The sequence below is a fragment of the Homo sapiens genome, chromosome 2 (assembly GCF_000001405.40).
Source record: "Homo sapiens chromosome 2, GRCh38.p14 Primary Assembly".
In the NCBI taxonomy this organism is placed as follows: Eukaryota; Metazoa; Chordata; class Mammalia; order Primates; family Hominidae; genus Homo; species Homo sapiens.
In genome coordinates, this window is record NC_000002.12 from 125,756,107 (window position 1) to 125,774,579 (window position 18,473).

General features: G+C 38.0%; 2 long non-coding RNA genes across 4 annotated transcripts in view; one reads left to right on the forward strand and one right to left on the reverse strand.

The window, feature by feature from the left end:
- LINC01889 (long intergenic non-protein coding RNA 1889) overlaps positions 1 to 18,473 on the forward strand; it is an 82,638-nt gene that overhangs the window by 45,157 nt on the left and 19,008 nt on the right. The gene's annotated exons all lie outside the window — the stretch shown is intronic.
- LOC124900611 (uncharacterized) overlaps positions 1 to 18,473 on the reverse strand; it is an 85,494-nt gene that overhangs the window by 30,244 nt on the left and 36,777 nt on the right. For both annotated transcript variants that reach the window (XR_923296.2, XR_923297.3), the window contains exon 2: positions 18,214 to 18,393. This is a non-coding gene — a long non-coding RNA (uncharacterized LOC124900611). The remainder of the gene's footprint in view (positions 1 to 18,213; positions 18,394 to 18,473) is intronic.

Below are 18,473 nucleotides of genomic sequence, written 5' to 3' on the forward strand. Positions count from 1 at the left end.
AATAAAATAGATCCTGATACAGAGACTCAACGTCAGATTATTTTCCTCTCTCATGATTATAGATAGATATAGGGATAAATATATTTCCTTAATTGGGCAAGGGATCATGTTATTCTATACTCACTGACAAGAAAAAAAGAAATAAAAGTAACTCTTCAGGAGATTATTCTGTGAGAGCAACCACCCAGCTCACATCCCACTAGACAAAAGTGTTTCTCTAAATATCATCAGCTCCCAATGAGAGATGTTACCAAGGGCATTAAAAATGAGAAAACCTATACTTTTTGATAAGGGCCACTGGGCATACTAGCTTCATCAAATTTGAACTTCGTTGTGTAGCTTTTTTGGAGAATGGGATTCCTGAAAACAGCCATACACAGATAATTTAATGAACCAAATTCATGTCCTTCAAGTACCTGATTTGAAATCTAGTGTTATGCCTCTTGCATCTGATAAATCCTTCCCTCTGTCACAACCAATTAATTTCAGGAAGGAACTCCTTCCTTGCACTGGATAGCAGAATGCAATGCCGGCTATCACTCAAATGTTATTTTTTTTATGAATGAGATCAATAACCACAGCAGAAAGGGTAATGCTAGGGCAGCTGGTTTGGTGGGGCTAAAGGAAGATCTGGGACAAATAGATCGTACACTCTTGTTTTCCTTTGTCCTTTTCTGCTGCTGATCTGACAGGTGGCAGACTCGGAAGATGCTGAGTCTTGCTTGCCTCTGGGTCCTGCTGGATTGGCAGAGATAATGAAGCATGTTCTTTACCATTGTTCATCACTAGACTCCTTAAACATGTTAATGGACTTCTACATTCGCTGAATATCCTGTGCATATCTCTTGTTATAGGAGGACATGAGGCATAGAGGATTCCAATACACCAAATTCATCGAACTGATATTTTAAGGCAAGCATAGGCAAAAGTTTCCTAAGGACAAGATACTTCTTATTTACTGGAAAATCTGAAATAAAGACTGAATTCCATTTAAGAGGAGAATTGTTGGTGTTTATGTGTGTGGATGCTGTTATCAGTGGAGGAGTTTAATATCCCTCCTTCTGGTCGTATTTCACAGATCACGGTAGTTCAACAAAGGAGTACTAAAGAATAGAACTTATGTAGCATCAGGACAGTGGGTGCAACAGTAAGTCTGGGAAACAAAGGCAAAATAAATTAGACAAATTTTTTTTGAAAGCAATTTGATAATGTGCATCAGAAATCTTCAAATGATTATGCAGTTTCATTCAGTAATTCCACTTTTGGAAATTGACCTTAAAGAAATAATCATATACAAAAATAAAAATGTAATCACAGAAGTTCATTATGGCATTATTTCAACAAGGAAAATTGAAAATAACCTAGATCATTTTAACAGATTTTTTTTTTTTTTTTTTTTTTTTTGAGACATGGTCTCACTCTGTTGCCCAAGCTGCAGTGAAAGGGCATAATCACGACTCACTGCAGCCTCTACCTGCCTGGGCTCAGGTGATCCTCCCACCTCAGACTTCAGCCTCCCAAGTAGTTGGGACCACAGGCACATGCAACCACACCAAGCTAATTTTTGTATTTTGTGTAGAGATAGGGTTTTGCCATGTTACCCAGGCTGGTCTTGAACTCCTGGGCTTAAGTGGCCCAAAGTGCTGGGATTACAGGTGTGGATCACCACACCCTGGCCACCAATATAATTTTGACTGGAAAGAGCTAGATGTAAATTTGTGCATGCAGCGTGTGTGTGAGTGAATATGTGTATGTGGAGACAGAGAATGCAAAGAAATGCATCATTATAATTTTACCAACAATATTCTATGAGTGCTTGATTTTGGCTTCTTTTGTTTTCCTCTGTAGCCTTTTTACCCCTAATTTACAAATCATTACCATAAGTATTTTATAGTTTTACACTTAGATAAAGTCAACAGTTTGGCAGTATTTGTCCCCATTTACCTGCTGTTCTTGCCTAAGAGTGCTTTACTTCCTTGTCTCATGGGTGCCATGTTTGGGCATGTGACACACCTTGGTCGTGGGATGAGAGCAGAAGTGGCCCATCTCACTGTTGAGAAGGAACTCTCATAGCCTCTAGTGTTCTGCTGTGTCTCAGTTCTCCTAGACCTGACAACAGCATGCGTCAGTGTCCGAGAGAGGTGCATTGCCTTTAACCTGTATCTCAGATTAAAGAAGACATGGAGCACATCAACAGGTGACCCCCACTGGAAGACATAAGCCATCAATGGGAATCCAGCCTTTTTGTTGTAAGCCACTGGGAATTGAGGATTGTTTGTTACCTAGCCCAAAAAAAGATACCTAACTAATATGGTCTATTTAGATATATTTATATAATATTTTCCATTTTAAAAATTAAGTAATAATTAATTAGCTGTTTATCTGAAGCAATTAATTATCATTAATATCACAGACCTGAATATAGACAGGTTCATATGTCCCAAAAGTAAAAAAAAAAATAAGCAAACAAAACTTTGCCTAGTTTTTCAATTTTCCTGATCAGATACATGAACGAATACTGTTTATGCTCTGTCTTCACTTTTTGCCTTTATTTCTCAATTCCTGTAAATGTAACTTCTGCTCATGCCAATATAGTCTATGATTTTGTATTCATAGTTTTGATATTTTGAACAGTATAGGCAAGTTATTTTGTGGAATATTCTTTGAACGTTTTAACGTCTGATTTTTCCTTATGAGTGGATTTGTTTAGACATGTTGGTAGGCATTCCAATAAAAACTGATGCCGTTTTCTTCTCAGTGAATTTAATTAGGAGGTACACATTGTTGGTTTGTCCTGCCGCCAGTGATGTTGACTTTGATCCTTAGTTAAGATGGTGTTTACCAGGATTCTCCACTGTGAAGTTACCAGCTTTCCCTTTGTAATTAATGGATGACTTTCAGAGCATGTACATATCCTGCTCCTCATCAAACACCCATTAGTTCTTGTATATACTGTAGCTTTGTCTAAAGTTATAATTGTAAGATGGTTGCCATGGAGACAGATAATTTTCCAGCTCCATCCTTTATTTTACATTTATAGTTGCCTTTATACTGTAAAGAAAAGCTTTGCCATCTTCCCCATTTTTTTATTTATTCCTAATTTTTATCCAAATGGACACGTGTTTTCATTTCATTGAATTATTTATAAGCCATTATAGTCATTATCCGCTTTAATGAGCAACTATCCAAATTTGGCCAATGAGAGTTCCTTCAATCTGGCTATAAATCCTTCTGATGTGCCCCGTCATTCTTGAGATATTTCCTATTTCTGACCCAGAAGAAGATATTCAAAGTGACCGTGGACATTCCTTGTCCTAGACCTGAAATCAGCCATTTCCCAAGGAGCCCAGGTTCCTTTTCATGGAGAAGAGTATTTAGAAACCAACATGTGGGCTTCTGATGTCCTCCTTGCTTTGTGTGCCACTGTTTCTAGGCTCAGTGGAGCTAGGAAGAATTAATAGATGGAGAGATGAAAATATTTTGACTTCTCCATATATTTATCTCTAATTGTCTAAAACCTTGTCTACATTTCAATATCTCCAATTCCAATCAAACGCCATAGGATTCACTATACTTTTATTCGTTTTTCATATTTGTAAGCCCCTCAACCCTGGGAGATCTGATCCCTGTTACATTCATTATACTTTGTTTTTTACTTAAATCTATCAGAAACAGAAGGTAGTTTCGGAACTGCTAACTCATAGTACTGGATAAAGAAACCTAATAACATGAATACAAGAGTTTGGGGTTCGTCCACAGCTAATTTTGTTTGCAGTCTGAGGGTATATAGTCAAAGCACTTCCCTTAAAAGCTACTTAAGTTATAACTGATTTTTTTCAGAGTAGTTATGATATTTGTTTGAAATTAAGTTATGCCATTTTCTTTTGTTTGAATTCCATTTATTTCGTTTTAGGATTTTTCTTCTTCCCAATGCTTAATGATTTTATTTTATACTGTAGAATGTGTAAACATTAACTTTGCATTCTAAGTCAAAACTATACAAAAATATAACCAAAGAAGGATGCTGCCTGCACTTTCAACATTTCTACTCCATTCCTGTTTACCTTTCATAGGTCAGAAATCTCATAAACATATGGCTTAATTTTACAGTGTTTCTTAGTAATGATATGTTCACAACACAAATATTTTTACTTATCAAATTATCTTACATAAAATACCATATTTTTAATTCCCTTTTAAATTTAATTTTTTTGACTTAGCAATATTTCCTGGAAATCATTCCATAACAGGTGTATGTATCAGAGTTTACTCACCCAATCTCTTACATATCGTCATTTATTTCTAATATTTGTAATGGCAGATAATGATGCAATTAATAATCTTGTGCATATGTATTTTGATATTGTTGGTGATTTGTCTTGAGAATGCATTCCTAAAAGTGACAGTACTGGGACAAATGCTTTTTGTTGTTGTTTGTTTGTTTAGTTTTGTGAGGTCTTTCTTAATTCTCCTTCATAATAGTTATGCCAATTTGTGCACCTACCTTAAGACTTATTTGACAGTACCTGTTTTCGCAAAGCCATGCTCTGGAATGCATCCTTGGTGTTAAGCTTAACTCTCTGTTCAGTTTTTCCCCTAGAATTTCTGTTATTTGAATTGGAAGTTTGGAAGAAGTGATACAATGCGTGAGCTCAGTCCACTAAAGTAATCAGAAATGTTCATACTAAACAGAGCGCTTGGCATGTTACAGCTTTGACTGCATTATGATCACGTCCACATTGCACTCAGTAGATCTGAACCTCATCCAGGAAGAAGATTAGGGACTGCTTGGGTTTTCATCCACTGTCTAGCATAGAGTTCTATATTGGTGTTGCACAAATATATTTATTTAACTAGCTTATTTGTTTTAAAGAGACGGGTAATAAGCAATGGGACCCTGAGGCAAAAATAAGAAGAAAATAGACAGAGGCCATGTTTTTAAATTTTTTGCTTTTGTTTATTTTTTCTCCTTCACAACCATAGCCGCACTCCTTCTAGATTGTACCATGCCTTTCTTTGTTTTTATAATCTTGAAAAGCAAATCAAAACCGAAACCTAAACAAGGGGTCACAAAGTGAAGGGCACTGCAAGAGCCCATGAGAAATTACCCGGCTACTTGATGAGATATTTGGATGGGAAAATGACTCCTTGATGAGTCTGAAATACAGTATGTCTCTTTTCCTGGGCTCTCCATTTCCTGCTGCCATTTCTTACATCAAGCCCCCAAGACAGGAGAGTTTCTCAGGGAATTTAAACTGACAGCTCCGTGCTGATTAGAAGCCATAGGACAGGGCATCTCCGGAATGAGATCAATGTCAGAGTGCTTTTGCCCACAGCAGCCACAGGGGGAGAACATATAAAATCAACCAGTTCTTTGACACATTGTTTATTAGAAGAAAATATAAGAGTTAGGAGTGTGAGGAAGAAAAAGGAAAGGGTTTCACATGATGTCCTAGAAAAACTTCCAGCAACGACAATGGGAGACAGACTTTTCCCCACTCTGAACAGTGTGAATAAAGGCCTAGATATCCACATAAAAGAGCACCACAACTTGAATCTCCAGATATTCAGAAGTACCCGGCATACAGTTAGTCTTTTGAGATTGTTTTCTGTTTCTTTCCTTCACAGCAGATTCTACCTAATTGGAGTCTTCAGGACGAAGCTTAGAATATCATCCTATTTCTACAGGTGTGCCCCAAGAATGGGCTTTTACACTTGGTTAGCCAAGTCACAGGAAAGGTGATTTAATATTTTCTAGCTCTGGGAAAGGGACTGGGCAGAACAGAACACACCTAAATTAAAAGAAAATGCTTGCCTATTTTGGACTCATTTCTTCTTCGTTATTGCCAGCCTGCTCTGCCCAAAATGAAAGTCCTCATCCAGGGTGAGAAGGAATATGCTGGTTGAGGGAGAGGTTTTTGTTTTTTGATTGGTTTCTATTTCCCTAAACTTGGCAGAGTTCTCTGAAAGACTTAAAGTTCCCCAAAATTTGTGAGTAAAGAAATATAAATTAATGCAAAATAATTTAATGGTATGGTCACCTTTTTGTGTGATATGGATAGTGATATGGAAAACTTTATTTAGAAACTTTATTCTTATGAGGAAGAAAAAAATGTAACTAACACCTCAAATACAGCTCAGTGATAACAACATTGAAACATTCAAGATTCTAGACTCAGATTTAATGTCACCTCTTCCAATAAGCCTTCCAATGACATCTGAAAGAATTGAGTACTTGCTCCTATTATTCTAGAAATCTTTTTTATAATATGACCATTTTATATAAGTCTTAAAAATGTAAAGCAACAGTATATCCTTTTAAGATATATGGGTATAGTAAATACATACAAATATGCATGTGAATGAAAAACCTCAGGGAGGCACATTGGATGAGGAAATGTGTTTTGCCAGAAATGTTCTCTAATGACTCACGTTGCACTGGAAATATGTATCTATTTATTGTCCTTCTCTTCTGTGACAGCAGAAGGACAGGGAGATTATTTTCTTCCTCTCTGGATGCTCAGGAATGAGCAACAGACTTTGCCTATAGATGTTTAAATATGCATATTGCACAAATGAATAAGTGGATGAGTGAACACGTTAAGTCCCATGTGGGCTGATCTTGAGTATAATCCATCACCCTTATCTGTGATACCACACGCCAACCTGATTTCCATCTATCCTGATGTCTGCCTGTCCAGTTAGGTAATTTTGTTTCTTTGGTTGAGAATGTTGATACCTGTTGAAGCAAAGTAATGAGTGTGTGGATGTGGATGTGTGTGTGTGTGAGAGAGAGAGAGAGAGAGAGAGAGAAAAGCATTTGGGGTTGTGAATGTTTTCCGTATTGAATACTATATTGGTGCTTTCTTTTGAACCTGTTTCAGTAGAAATAGAGTCTGAGGGCTGGGTGTGGTGGCTCATGCCTGTAGTTCCAGCACTTTGGGAGGCTGAGGCAGGTGGATCACCAGAGGTCAGGAGTTCGAGAGCAGCCTGGCCAACATAGTGAAACCCCCATCTGTACTAAAAATACAAAAAATCAGCTGGGCATGGTGGCAGGCACCTGTAATCCCAGCTACTCAGCTACTCGGGAGGCTGAAGTGGGAAAATCGCTTGAACCTGGGAGGCGGAAGATGCAATGAGCTGAGATCACCCCATTGCACTCCAGCCTGGGCAACAAGAGCAAAACTCCGCCAAAAAAGAAAAGAAAAGAAAAGAAAATAAATGAAACAGAGAGTCTGAGTAGAGTCTGAGGGCACTTATGTTTAAGACAGGGAAGGAGAATGCTGCTGTCAAGAGACCACAGCTTTGGCATAGCATGGCAGCTGGATGTTGTAGGGGGCTGGCCAGGGGGCACCTGGAGGGCAGGAGGATTGAGGCCATGAAGTAGAAGGTCACAACCTGATAATCTCATGCACCACCAATGAACACATTTTAAGATATTATCTTTGTTGAAGTACAATTAAGCACACTGTATTTGTGCACATACTCAAAGTGTACAATTGTGTAAGTTTGACTTACATATATGCCTGTGAAATCATCACCTCAATAAAGGTAGTGAGCATGGTGATCATAGCCATCCTCTTAAAGAGTGTCTTTGTTTCTGCAATTTCTTATTCTTATTCCCATCCCTCCCGTTGTCCTAGGGAGCCATTGATCTCTGTCCCAGGGAGTTCTCTCTCAGTGTAGAAAATTTTGCATTTTCCATTTTAAATAGATGGAATGTACCTTTGTTTTCTCTTTGGGAGTCTGGTTTCTTTCACTCTGAATATTTCTTTAAAATTAATTGTATTATTATTAGTAATAATGGCGATGATCAGTCTCTTAACCAGGTTATTTATATACATACTCATTTAATTAATTTCATTTATAATGTTCAGCCAAACTGAATTATTAAAAGGATACTTAAAAAGATCCTTGTGGAAACTGATTTGTTTCTGACAAGGACAATCACTCTATTTATAGAGGCTAATTCTTTTACTCACATAAAAGAAACATGGCATTGTTCTTATACAAGTAAAAAAAAAAAGAGGATGTAATACAATGATTATCTGTAATTAATTCCATATGGGAAAGAAGAGCACAGTTTCCTCTCATATACAAGACATTTTTATTTTTCAGAAATTAAAAAATATGCATCCTAGCCTTAAAGTTCTGTATAAAATGTCAGTTCTAAAAGTTTTTTTTTTGTGAAGCTCTTTATTAACTGGTTTTATACTTTGAAAATTCTCTCAACGATCTCTAAGTCTGGCTTAAAACTAGGACTGGCTTCATTTCCAACAAAAACAATAGTATTAGGGGAAAGAAACTAGGCTTTCCCGTAAAATTTCTTAATTGAAAGGAAGACAGGAGTTTCAGGAGCAGACAGAGTTTTTAGAAAGCGATATTTTGAATACAAGGAAGAAATATCCATTTCACAGACATTTAGGAGGAGCCAGCATGACATTAATATAACCCTTATTTCAGTGAAAGATAACTTAGTTCAACAAGTTTTATTTTTTAATTATTTTACTTTCAGTATTGTGGTCGAAAAGAAAGTGTTATGTGTCAATGGAAGTATCAAAGCAATATAATCCTCTCCTACCAAAAAAGGCTTCTGGTATTCCAACCAGCACTCCATCAGTCAACAATATTTGTTTCTTATGTGCTTCATTAGCAAGATGCTGTGCTAGATGCTGTGGGCAATAGAGCATACTTTAAGGCACCATCCCTCCTCTCAAGGGGATGAATAAAGCAAACTTTTGATAGATAACTAAGAATACTTGGTGGTATACAATAAGTTTTCAAGAGCACAGAGGAGTGAAATTCCTCTGATAACAGAGAAGTGGTCAGAAGAGAGACTCATTGGTGGCTGAATTGTCCTGAGAACCTCAGGTTGGAGGACTGGAAGATCAGTCTTGAAGTGAGCAGGGTTAGATGGGTGATGGAGGGGGTTCCAGGAGAGAGTTCCTGGCTGGAGGAATAGGGGAACTGAGATGAACAGAAAAAGATAATCTCAAAGAACAGTAGTCTCTTGAGGGAATGAGGAAGATGAGCAAAGAAGCAGAAACGTGTCAAGGTGTGTGAGGTTTGGAGAACCCAGAAGGAAGCCTGGCTTTTGTCCCAGGTCTCTGAACAGATATGCCTTTGCATTCTTCAGATAACTCTGTAATGTCCTTATATTCTTATCCTCCCTAAACGCCTTGCAAAACTTCTATGCTAATATTCATGACTAAAGAGGAAACATTGATAGGAGTTGCAGAAACTGACTGCACCTAGCCCACTGTTAGGGGGATGGGAAATGATTAGCCTCTGGCAGTTATCTAGAAAGTCCAGAAATACTGACTTTTTTTGTTGATGTTCTAGATGCCAGTGTTCTGGGGTAGGTGGAGCAGGTGTTGCTGTCCACATACCTGAGCCTCAGAACTTCTTCCGGGATTATGTGACTCATAAATCCAGCAACAAGAACTGACTTTTCCTGGCTGTCATTTCAGGGTTCTTTTCAGAAAACCAAGCAGCTACTGGATACTGACCTTATTCTAAAGGCCAACAGAAGTGGAATAAGGTGCAATTTGGAATTCAATCAATATTGAAGGATGACGGTGACCTTTGGGAAATAGGATTCAGCGATGTCTTTTTAAATTCTGTTATTTGTACATAACGCACTCTTACAGATTTTTTAAAAAATCCAATTCCACATGAAAAACTTTTACACTGAATTTATTACATTTTTAAAAATACATAAACTCAGACTTTATTTTTTATTTTTTCTTATTTCCCTTGCTGCTGCCTATAGGATCTTGCACACTTGTGGCCAGTCACTCTAAAAGCAGCAAGCATGTCTCATGGGACTACAAACAGAGAGGCATGCATTTGTATTTTTGTGGTCCTAGGACATGGGACCAGTGCTCATGCTGTAGGGGTTTGTGCCCAGGGAGGCTTGAGGATGCCTGAGAAAAAGTGATTGGGTGTCTAAACTCCATGGCAAAATGTCGCTTCCTAAATATGCCATCTGAGTCCTTGAGAGTTGTAATTACTCATGGTGGCATTCTAGCCCTGTCCTCTTTCAGCCTTAATAAAAAAATCAACCAACAAGTAGTGAACATGAGACCTAAAATGTGCTCCTTTGCGTTGATTATTTCTTGGCAAATCATGTTTTAGAAGCTCATTAGCAGTATGTTTTATCAAAGAAATAAAAGAGTTTCACACTTTCTTTTCTCTCAATTATCCTGTGATATTTCTATTTCCTTTTGCTGATATCTCAGTGAGTAAATTTACTCCTGGACATTATTTTAACTCATTTTGATGCAAACTGACTGAGGGATAAGTAATTGTGAATTACTGAGGTCAAGCAGGAGGTTATGCATATCGCTTTTAAATGTTACTGACACATCTACCATTTTCTTATGAGAAGTTTATTGTTGGACCATGTTTTCTTAGTACTTTTAATTAATTTACCAATTCAATGTAAGGGTCTTGGGGAGAAATATGAAATATCCTTCTTAAGAAGTAAATTTTTGATTCTTTCCTTTATAAAGTTCTCAGAAAACATTGCTCTTTATAAATGTTGGCAAGGGGCTATACACTAGGTTCTTGAATTTGAACATTAAGAAAATACTGTAGTTTGATAGTATGTTTCTTGTTTTGTTTTTGCTTTGTTGTTTTGTTTTACCTACACTTAGAGTCCTGGATTATATCTGGAAACCAAGAAGCCTGCTGTTATTTCTGTTTACCTCTCAAATTCATTGTTTTCTTAGAGCTTGGTAACCATTATCATTGTTGTGTTTTTCCTTCACTGGAAACATCACTATCCCCGGGGATATTTGTTTATGATTTCATCCAGTGACTCCTTCCAGTGCATAAACGCTCTTAGTCAGTAGGTTGCCCTCTTCTGCTCTCATGTGTTCGTTACTACCCTGGGCAATGGAGCTATAGACATGGAGGAAGGGAGCATACTGTGGGGCCAGAGGGCACAGGTAAGCAGACAGTACCCAGGAGTGGGAATCACCCTGGAGAGGGGTGCAGAGCCTGGCAGAGAAGAGCAGAAACACAAAGTGTAGACAGGAGGCATTCCCGTGGAGGTGAGGTGGCTGGTGTGATGGGGCTGGGAGAAGAGGAAGAATAGACAAAGCCTAACCTCAGAAAAAGATGTAATACCTGAACTGAGTCTCAAATCAGAAAGACTTCGCTCAGTAGACAAGAGAAAAGGGCAGCCCACCTAGAAAATGTAGAATATGGAAAGGTTTCAAAAGGTATTCGCTTGTTTGGGAAGCTTGTTGGCTTGAAATGATTGGATCACCCTAAACAAGTGAGCACCTTGTCAAAGAAGAGAGTCAGGAGAAGGAAATAAAGGGTATTTAATTAGGAAAAGAGGAAGTCAAACTATCCCTGTTTGCAGACGACATGATTGTATATCTAGAAAACCCCATCATCTCAGCCCAAAATCTCCTTAAGCTGATAAGCAACCTCAGCAAAGTCTCAGGATACAAAATCAATGTGCAAAAATCACAAGCATTCTTATACACCAATAACAGACAAACAGAGAGCCAAATCATGAGTGAAATCCCATTCACAATTGCTTCAAAGAGAATAAGACACCTAAGAATCCAACTTACAAGGGATTTGAAGCACCTCTTCAAGGAGAACTACAAACCACTGCTCAATGAAATAAAAGAGGATAAAACAAATGGAAGAACATTCCATGCTCATGGATAGGAAGAATCAACATCATGACAATGGCCATACTGCCCAAGGTAATTTATAGATTCAATGCCATCCCCATCAAGCTACCAATGACTTTCTTCACAGAATTGGAAAAAACAACTGTAAAGTTCATATGGAACCAAAAAAGAGCCCACATTGCCAAGTCAATCCTAAGCCAAAAGAACAAAGCTGGAGGCATCACACTACCTGAATTCAAACTATACTACAAGGCTACAGTAACCAAAACAGCATAGTACTGGTACCAAAACAGAGATATAGATCAATGGAACAGAACAGAGCCCTCAGAAATAATGCTGCACATCTACAACTATCCGATTTTTGACAAACCTGACAAAAACAAGAAATGGGGAAAAGATTTCCTATTTAATAAATGGTGCTGGGAAAACTGGCTAGCCATATGTAGAAAGCTGAAACTGGATCTCTTCCTTACACCTTATACAAAAATTAATTCAAGATGGATTAAAGACTTAAATGTTAGTCCTAAAACCATAAAAACCCTAGAAGAAAACCTAGGCATTGCCATTCAGGACATAGGCATGGGCAAGGACTTCATGTCTAAAACACCAAAAGCAATGGCAACAAAAGCCAAAATTGACAAATGGGATCTAATTAAACTAAAGAGCTCCTGCACAGCAAAAGAAACTACCATCAGAGTGAACAGGCAACCTACAGAATTGGAGAAAATTTTTGCAATCTACTCATCTGACAAAGGGCTAATATCCAGAATCTACAATGAACTCAAACAAATTTACAAGAAAAAAACAAACAACCCCATCAACAAGTGGGCAAAGGATATGAACAGACACTTTTCAGGAGAAGACATTTATGCAGCCAACAGACACTTGAAAAAAATGCTCATCATCACTGGCCATCAGAGAAATGTAAATCAAAACCACAATGAGATACCATCTCACACCAGATAGAATGGCGATCATTAAAAAGTCAGGAAACAACAGGTGCTGGAGAGGATGTGGAGAAATAGGAACCCATTTACACTGTTGGTGGGACTGTAAACTAGTTCAACCATTGTGGAAGTCAGTGTGGCAATTCCTCAGGAGTCTAGAACTAGAAATACCATTTGACCCAGCCATCCAATTACTGGGTATATACCCAAAGGATTATAAATCATGCTGCTATAAAGACACATGCACACATATGTTTATTGCGGCACTATTCACAATAGCAAAGACTTGGAACCAACCCAAATGTCCAACAATGATAGACTGGATTAAGAAAATGTGGCACATATACACCAGGGAATACTATGCAGCCATAAAAAAGGATGAGTTCATGTCCTTTGTAGGGACATGGATGAAGCTGGAAGCCATCATTCTCAGCAAACTATCGCAAGGACAAAAAACCAAACACTGCATGTTCTCACTCATAGGTGGGAATTGAACAATGAGAACACTTGGACACAGGATGGGGAACATCACACACCGGGGCCTGTTGTGGGGTGGGGGGACAGGGGAGGGATAGCATTAGGAGATATACCTAATGTAAATGACGAGCTAATGGGTGCAGCACACCAACATGGCACATGCTTGCATACGTATCAAACCTGCGCATTGTGCACATGTACCCTAAAATTTAAAGTATAACAAAAAAAAAAAAGAAAAGAGTCAAACTCTGTAAAACATTTGAAGAGATTGATTCTGAGCCAAATATGAGTGACCATGGCCCATGATGCAGCCCTCAGGAGACCCTGAGAACATGTGCCCAACGTGGCCGGTGTGAGGCTTGGTTTTATACATTTCAGGGAGACATGAAACTTCAATCAAATACATTAAGAAATACATTGCTTTGGTTCAGAAAAGTGGGACAACTTGAAGCTGAGGAGCTTCCAGGTCATAGGTAGGTTTCAAATTTTTCTGGTTGACAATTTGTTGAGTTTATCTAAAGACCTGGAATCACTAGAAAGGAATATCTGAGTTAAGATAAAGGACTGTGGAGACCAAATTCTTATTGTGCAGAGGAAGCCTTCAGGTAACAGGCTTCAGAGAGAATAGATCATAAATGCTTCTTATCAGACTTAAGGTCTGTGTTGATCTTAGTGCCAGAGAGGTATAATGAAGCATGTCTGACCCCTACTTCCGGTCATGGCCTTAACCAGTCTCTCAGGTTAAATTTTAATAGTGTCCTGGCTGAGAAGGAAGTCCATTCAGATGTCTGGGGGGCCTTAGAGTTGTATATTTGGTTTACAACCTTGTAGTGGTGCACCTTACACAAGCAAGAGGCAGGACAAAGCCTTGGGGGCTCAGGGACAATACAAGTCAAAGCAGGTGACCTTTACATTTTCTGTTTTCAGGGCAAGTGGCCACTCTTTTTAGGCAAACCCATGACATCGCTCTTTGTGGGCAGCCTCTGAGACTGACAGAATATTCCAGTGCAAAAGAGGTAGTGATGAGAAAGAAGGGGTGAAAGGCAGTAAAGTCAAAGAGAGAGGAAAGAAAGCTGGACTCTGGGAAGCAGAGACATCAGAAGCAGACTGTTGGAGTAGGAAAGAAAATCTTTTCATTTGAACACAGAGGCTTATGTGAGGTCTATATTGAACACATTTTTACTTCTAATGGTACCGTGGAAGAGAAACCTGATAGGGGATGCTATGGCATTATGAGCAATGTTTCAGAGTGATTTTCTCTGGTGCCCTGGTCTTCCTCAGTCTTCTGACCTTCTGTGAACCCACCATGCTGGCCCTGTTCCTAGACCCACTCTCCTCTGCTCCATTTTGAGTTCTTTGAAGTCGGGCCTCTCCATTCATCTTGAAATCACAACCATAAGCCTGGCTCAGAAGTTCAGAAAGTCCTCCAAGGAATTGAAAGGACATCAGGGATTCAGAAGCTAATTGAGAAAACAATTTTACACACAGCGTATTTTGACCACAAAAAAACAGACCCATTGGAAATGGGCAAGAAGGCAGCATGAGCCAAAAGACACAAATTAGGTCCAATGAGCAGAAGCAGCAAGCTGAATCTTAGACTCTGGAAAGAGGCAGGTGATCATTTGGCATCTGGAATAATAAATGTGAAAAACAAGGATGAAGGAAATACTTCAATGGGAAATAGAATGAGGGGAATATGTTAGAGAGTAAAGAGAGATTAAGAGAGGCAGCTCAGGTTCCTGCAGGGGTGGAGGGAAAGAAGCATCCAGACGCACCTCTGGAAATACACCAGGGGAGTCCAGACCCCCAACTTCCCACCCAAGTTTCCAACAGCAGGTTCTGTGTAACCTTCTACCCACACTTCCCTGGTGTTCGAATAATCTGGAGCTCTGTGATCAACCTCTGGCAGGAGATGAGAAAGCCTCAGAAATAAAACGATAATGCTTCCTGCACGACTCTTTGCAGATTTTGCTACCTGGAGCCACTGCCCTCAACTTCTCTGTCCTGCCTGGAGAGTACTGAGTGAAGGTCTCTGTGCCCTAGGCTTTTAATGGTAGCAATCGTTGCAAAGAGACAGGATATTTGAGTCTTTGCTCTGGTTTCTGTCCATTGTAGGTATGAATAGGGCTTTATAATATGAACTCATAAATGCTATGATCAAATTTTAAAAAAGATTTGTCCTTCACAGGCATTAAACATGCTGGCACAAAAATGAGCAGAAGCGTTCAAAAAACCAGATCATAAACTCAGTGCTTTCTAAAGTGGTTAAGTTTCAACAAGAGTTATATATCAAGCTATTTTAAACATTTGTTTTATGTCCCCACCTTTTCTTTCAATTTTGCTACCATGATTTTTGTGCAAAATATGGCAGAATGGATCATCAAGCTCTCAAAAGCATCATTAAGTAAAATGTAAAAGACAAGGTTTATCAGACTTAGTACTGAACAATATATATTGATATAAATATATATTCACTATTCCAAAACAATCTGTCTTGAGTATATCAGGGTTTTCATTTCACATTCTATGATGGGCCTTTCATCTCACTGGGTAAATCACTTATTTACTTTGATATCACTAACAAGACTATTGAGGATCCTTAAATTTGACTGAAGAACCCACCATATTTTTTCAATGATTCATCAAAAAAGAAAAAATTAGGAGATATACCTAATGTTAAATGACAAGTTAATGGGTGCAGCACACCAACATGGCACATGTATATATACATGTAACAAACCTGCATGTTGTGCACATGTACCCTAAAACTTGAAGTATAATAAAAAGAAAAAAAAGAAAAAATTAAAAGGTATAGACATTAATAAATCTGTTTGCCTTGGCTCACAGTTGAAGGGTAGGGAGTGGCTTATCATTTGTCCAAATGCTAATGCAATGACAAGACAAGACCCACACAAGGTCTCCAGCATGAAAAAGAGATGAAAGTATAAATGATTGCAAATGTATTCATCTTGATTCAGGTATTGGGTTACTGCTTTTTTAGCTGCTGGGAGTTTCCACTTCAAGCTGGGGAGGATAAATTAAACAGATGTAGTTTGTAAAATGTAAATAAAAATCTAACCCATACAAAACTCTACATTTCAGATTTGTTATACCCTGATGGCTCTTCAGGGGACATGTGCCTCAGTGGAAGGCAGGGCTTCAGCACCTAGGAGATAGTGAGGGCTCAACACATATCTGTTGAATGCCCTTCTCTTCTCTCCTTCTATTAATGGAAGAAAAAGTAAAATAAAAATGCATCCACCAGAATGAACTGTACATATGTTGCTTTTAGATAAGAGACCCATTATTGGTTTTAGAACCTATTTACATTTATATATGTATGTATATATTTATATAGGCAAATATATTCCATTCTACTAAATTTTAGAATCATGAAATGCATTGCAATATAGTTGAGCAATGTGAAAATATTTGGTGGCCCTATATGTCAAGCATTCTGAAAAAAGCTGTTGATTATTCTTTGAAGATTGAGTAAGACAGCAACCCTTCCCTGGAGATAGGATGAGATGAGATAAGGTATGACTTATATGCAGTCCATCCCTCTAAGGCAGTGATTTATGCCTTAATATGCATAGAAATCCAACCAGGGTGCTAGGAAACATGAAAGTCATCCACCTCCACCACTGGTTCCAGGTAATCCATTTCACTACATCTGGGGTTAGGCCCAGAAGTCTGCATTTTTAGTTGAAGCCTTAGGTGAAGGTGAAACCAGAGTTTTGTAACTTGGCCAGCAGTTTCCAAATCTATGTGCAATTAAAATTCTCTGGAGAACTTCATTAAAATTTCAGTGCTTGATCCTAACACCCAAAGATCATAAAGAATTGCTTCTGATGTAATATTTTTGAAAGATACTCAGATTATTTCAAAGTGCAGTCAGGGCCCAGAAGCACTGCCTTAGAGAACCAGAGGATTGAGATTAAGAAATTCTGGCAAATCAAAACAACAGTGAGGTATCGACTTACTCCAGTTAGAATGGCTGTTATCAAAAGTAAAAAAATATAACAATTGTTGGAGAAGATACGGAGAAAAAGGAATCCCTTATACACTGTTGGTGGGAATGTCAATTAGTACAGCCATTATAGAAAACAGTATGGTGTCTCCTCAAAAAATTAAAACTAGAACTACCATATAATCCATCAATTCTACTACTGGGTATGTATCCAAAAGAATTAAATCAACATGTCAAAGAGTTATCCGCACCTTCATGTTTATTTCAGCATTATTCACAACAGACAACATATGGAATCAACCTAAGTATCGATCAGTGAATGAATGGATAAAGAAATTGATAAATTTATGCAATGAAATACTATTCAGCCATAAAATAGAATCAAATCCTGCAATTTGCAATAATGTAGATCAACCTGGAGAGCATCATGCTAAGTGAAATGAGCCAGACACAGAAAAACTAATACTGCACGATCTCACTTACATGTTAGAGTCTATAAAGCTGATCTCACAAACTTAGAGAATAGGATAGTGTTTACCAGAGACTGGGTCGGGTAAGGAGGAGGGGGAAATGGAAATAGTTTGGTCAATGGGTACTACATTACAATGATATAGGAAGAATAAGTTCTGGTGTCCTATTTCACAGTAGGGTGACTATAGTTAATGATAATGTATTAAATATTTCAAAACATCTAGAAGAGAAGATTTGGAATATTCTTACTACAAAGAAATTTTAAATATTTGAGGTGGCAGTCATGCTAATTACCCTGATTTGATCATTACACTGTGTATCCATGCATTGGAACATCATGCTATATCACAAAATATGTACAATTACTACATATCAATTAAAAACATAGAAAGAGTGGAATAAAAATTCGATGTGAAAAGAAAAATAACAAGGGGATTTATCTTATAATACATATTATTATAGCATAATGGATATCTGCTGAAAATATAAGCAAAACTATTAAACAAAGTCAAATTGATGTATTTGCAAATATTGCTAATCTTTTTATATTGTTCATGGAAACATTTTATTCAGTCAATTTTTCTAAGTCACTGACTTGAGATCCCATATTTTTGAATGCCAAATATAACATTGAAAAGAAGACAAAGAAAAAAAGACCCTCTGGCAGATGGCTTACCTGGACAGGACCTACCTTTCCAGATGTGACCAGGCTTCTTGAATCCCAAGTAGAGAGTCAACGTCCTTGTCACCATCGCCATAGAAATCACCATCAGCAGGAGAGCAGCTACTTTTTATTCTACTTTGCCTTTTATATTCCAGGCACTTTCATGCTTTACTTAGAGATAATTTTGTTTAATCTCAACCATAGTCTCTGGAAGACAGAAAGAAATCTTCATTTTAGACACGCATTCCAGGTGACTGCTATATATATTAACTTTGAGGGACATTCCC